The sequence below is a fragment of the Homo sapiens genome, chromosome 1 (genome assembly GCF_000001405.40).
Source record: "Homo sapiens chromosome 1, GRCh38.p14 Primary Assembly".
Classification (NCBI taxonomy): domain Eukaryota; kingdom Metazoa; phylum Chordata; class Mammalia; order Primates; family Hominidae; genus Homo; species Homo sapiens.
In genome coordinates, this window is record NC_000001.11 from 159,278,762 (window position 1) to 159,283,574 (window position 4,813).

The following is a 4,813-nucleotide window of genomic DNA, read 5'->3' on the forward strand; positions in this document are numbered from 1 at the left end:
ACAATCAGCTACTCCTTGCTTACGATTCCCTACAGCTTTGCCCCTGTGTGAGCAGCAACTGACCACTCCCCTGGTGGTAACCTGTGTGGTTAGTAGAAGGTATAGGAGAATGATGGTAAAAACAAAGTCAAATCATGGAGACTCTTGGTTCCTTAATGTCGCATTACCACCAAATTTTGCAACTCTCTTTGGTTAGAGGATGAATGATAGGATTCAATTTTCTCGAGCTTAAAAAAATACCCAGACTATGACTGACTATATGTCAAACTGATGAAGATTCTAGGCAAAAGGTTTTTTGCCAATAGCACGGTGAAGGGCATTCTTGACCTCCTTGTTCCTCAAAGTGTACACAACAGGATTAAGTAGTGGAGTAAAGACGGTGTATGTCACTGAAATTAGCTGGTCCTGATCCCTGGTGTTCTCTGACTTGGGCTTGAGGTAGGCAATGGAGGCACAGCCATAGTGGATGATAACCACAGTGAGGTGGGAGGCACAAGTTGCAAAAGCCTTTTTCCGGCCCTCAGGAGAGGTGACCTTGAGGATGGTAGAGATGATGAGGATGTAGGAGATGAAGACCAAACCCAGCGGCACCACAATAACCAGGGAACTAACAACAAAATTAATTAGGTCATGTAGAGTGGTATCAACACAGGAAAGTTTCATAACTGGGTGGATATCACAGAAATAATGGGCCACCTGTTTATCACAAAAAGGCAGCCTGAACACAGATGAAATCTGAACTATGGCCACAAGCAGCCCAACACTGCAGGACCCACATACCAGCTGGACACACACTTTCTTGTTCATGATGATCATGTACCTCAAAGGGTTACAGATGGCCACATAGCGATCATACCCCATTGCTGTGAGCAGAAAGCAGTTGTTGATGGCCAAGGTAATAAAAAAAACATCTGGGTGGCACAGCCACCCAAAGAGATAGGTTGGCTTAGACTTAAGAGACTGGAGAGCATCCGTGGTACAATGACTAATGTGTAGACAGTCTCTGAAGTGGAAAGCATACTAACAAAGAAGTACATGGGGGTGTGAAGGTGACGATCAATGCTGATAATTGTCACAATTATGACATTGCCAGCCAGGGTTAAAAGACACAAGGTAAGAAATACCACAAAGAGGGTAAGCTTGTGTTCATGAAAGCTGGAGAAACCCTGGAAAACAAACTCCCTTATCACTGTGTGGTTCTCTCTCTTCGTTGGATAAATAAACAGATTGAAAGTACAGAGACTTAGGTCAATTAGTCAGAAGACATCAGTGCCCAATGCTTTGAGCAGGTGAATCATCTAAGAAGATAATAAGGATTCTGTTCGTGGATGGATGCCAAGTTATTGGGGACGACTGTTCACCTATAGATATAGACAGAAAAACACGATAAGAAAACAATTTCATGCATGACAATGTGTGTGTGTGTGTATATATATATATATGGGACTAAATAGGGATGAAAAAATGGAAGAAAAGACACCGGGGTAAGTTTGAAAAAGATTTCTTGGTGACCTAGCACATAAGTGTTAGAGAAAAACTAGGCTAAAGAAATAGGAAATGCATAGTTAAATTTGAAAGGAATTTTCTTTTATATTACAGTTTCAGATTTTGTTTACCTAAAACAAATTTTTCAACCTCTTCCACTTTGTTTAAACCACAATTTCGATTGTCTCTTTAAAGATCTTTCTTTCTGGGTTGCCAAACAAGACAATGCTCTCTGCTCCAACATAACATAAGTGTTTACTTTCTCCCTGTTGCTCCTGTCTGCTTGTTTCACAAACTCTTTTCATAAGTCATCAAACAGCTTCAAACCTGACTGTCACCCCAGATTTTTTAAAACAAGAGATGTTCCTCTCTTTTTTCAATGCTTGACTTGAGTCTCCTCCTCCTCAGAAAGTCTTCTCAGGACTAAATACAACCTGTCAATCCAATTCCCCGTAGTGTTGGTAAGTGTTTCCCAGTAGCTTGGTTCCGGGGACTGTGTTTATTTCTATGCATTTTCTAGCTTATACTTAGAGGAGAATTTTCACAGGTACTCTGCCTCACTAGTAGAGTAAACTGTCTTTTACAATTTCTTCAGAATTTTAAACTTTAGGGAACCGAGTTTACACATTTCTCCCTCTGTCCCCTATCTGGGGAGTTATTGGGCATCAAAAATCTCTCATTTTCAAAAAAAGTATAACAATAATAAATAGTTCCTATGGCACTTTTTAGTTTATAGAGTTTTTACGTGTATTATGTAGCATCATAACAATCCTGTGTTTTAGGTAATTATTATCCCTCTCTTGGTAAGACACCCAGGGTTAGATGATTGCACAAATTAACTCGATCTTTTAATTCTAAGACTAGTGTGATTTGCCCTATACCGCAAGTGCCTAAGAAGCAACATAATCACAAAATAAATGAGAAAGAAGATACTTTTTGTTGCTTTTATCAAAAAGAATTAATGCATTTCTTCTTGCTCTTGAGAATGAGATTACATTGGGAAAAAAATGAAAAACTGGAGAATCTTAGAATGCTTTCTCTAGATAAATAAATATTATTACATTAGTGACAATCCACGTCCATTCTTCTTGGCTTGATATTTTCGCTTCCAATTATTTATTTTAAGGAAATAATCAGAGATACATATTAGGATGTATATCTAAAGACATTTTTATATTATTTATTGGTGAAGTCTAGAAACAATGTAAATGAATAAAGGAATAATTGAATTAATTATAAAATATCCATCTGATGGGAGCTATGCAGCCATTAAGAATCTACAAAGTGCTGACATGAAAAAATACACTATATAAGTAGGTTGATTGACTGATTGAGAAATAAATTACAGACTGCAAGTTTGTAAAAATAAAAAGAACCAGAAAAGAGAGGCAAGGAAAAGAAAGGAAAAACATTCAATGACACATATGCCATTAAAAAAGTAAATATAACAAAATGCTAAAAATATGTCTTTCAAATAGTGCATGGAGAATCTATCGTTTATCATCTATCTATCTATCTATCTATCTAATATCTTCTCTATTATAAATACTATCATAAATACTTTTAATACATACATACTAATATATTATGAATCTAATATTTAATGAAATATTTAAACATTAAATATTAACGCAAAAATTAATAATAAACCATATTGGAAGAAAGTATTAATGCTGACTGTTAATTACTACAGTGGGATGCAAGTACTTGAGTGAAGGCAAATTTCAGAGTTTTCTTACTAAAGATTTTGAAGAACCAAAAAATATTAGTTTCAAAATGCTGAGAAAAATATGAAGCAAAATATGTGTTTATTTTCCTTGAAGATGTAGGAACGGGCCAGTTCTTAACCATTCCTATGTAACTGATATTCATGGTGTATTACTGAGCAAGATAAACCTCAAATGTCTATGTAACTAGAAAGTCAATCCTACCTACACTAAGCAGAATGAAAAAAATAAATAGGTGGCAGAAGAGAAAAGATTGCACTAAGTTTGTGCATTCCTGCAATTGCAACTCCTTTCTCATCATCCCCTTAGGTAAACAATGACTCACCAAGATAGCAAAGGTCCTCATGAGTGATAACGCTAGATTAGTAGGATCATGATAGCTGAAACAAAATGCCAACTTCCTTCTGTGGAATCCTTGTCACTGAGAAAAACGGCATTTTGCAACACTTTCTGTTCCCTTGTATTTTGGATTGTTAGCTAAAAATATCTCTCTACCCCTAAATTTTTTTTTAAATGTTCTTCTAGAGAAATCATTTTCTGCCTAGACCTGACAATGAATTCTGGGCCAGAGGTTAAAATTATTCATTTCATTGTTCAAGTCTTTCCAATTGGAAGCAAGCTAGAAAAGCCCAGGTGCTTCATAGTTTTCAGTCCTTTGAATATAACTGAATCATAGGACCTTAGCGTTAGGTGGTAATTTTAAAAGCACAGCATTTCTCATGAACAGTCCCTCAAATTCTGCTTCACTGCTTCCAATGATTGGAAATTCATTACCTTGTAAATAAGCATTTCCTCTTTTTTTTAAAGATACAAACTCTTCTTGAAAAATAAAACCAGGCTTTTTAAATTATAAAAGTGCTCATAGGGGAAAAACCGTGGGTACAGAAGGATATAAATGGAAAAGTTCATTTTCTCCTCTACATTTTCTTGGCCAGAGGTAAAGATGATTCATGGGTTTTTGTTGTTAGTATTGCTGTTTATTTCTGTCCAGAAATATTTTATGTACAATCATGCATATTTTCACATCATTTCAATTTTACGCAAATGGAATTAGGCAGTACATACCAATTCACAACTAGGGTTTCCCATATATTATATCCTGACTACTTTCCATAATAGTATTGTGATCTATCTCACTCTTTCTATTTCCAATGGTGCACATTATTTCATTATATAGATTAATATAGCTGTACTATCATCATTTCTATTTTGATTGACTTTAATTCTTAGAAAATATTAATTCCTATCAACTCAATATTTATTTGCTTGCAACTTACCACCTCCCACATCATTCCACTTTCTATTTTCTCTTCAATATGATTACACTTCAAATATTTGAAGATCATTATTACGTCTCTGCTAAATTTCATGTCCTTCAATCCATTACCACAGCAAGACAAGCATGAAGAAATGTAATATTAATGGACATGTGATTCAATATAACCAATCAAATACTGAACCATACAGGGAAAATAGTAAGATTTTGAAAAATGCACATGGTGTTTCATTTTCATTTACTTCTGCCAAAAGCACTCGCTGCTTCTGACCTTGGCAATAGGAAGGAGAAGGAAGCACTTTCCAGATAGTGATCTTTAAAAGGC

The 4,813-nt window shown here is 35.5% G+C and overlaps 1 pseudogene; it reads right to left on the reverse strand.

Moving 5' to 3' along the window:
- On the reverse strand, positions 282-1,239 carry OR10J2P (olfactory receptor family 10 subfamily J member 2 pseudogene; annotated as a pseudogene).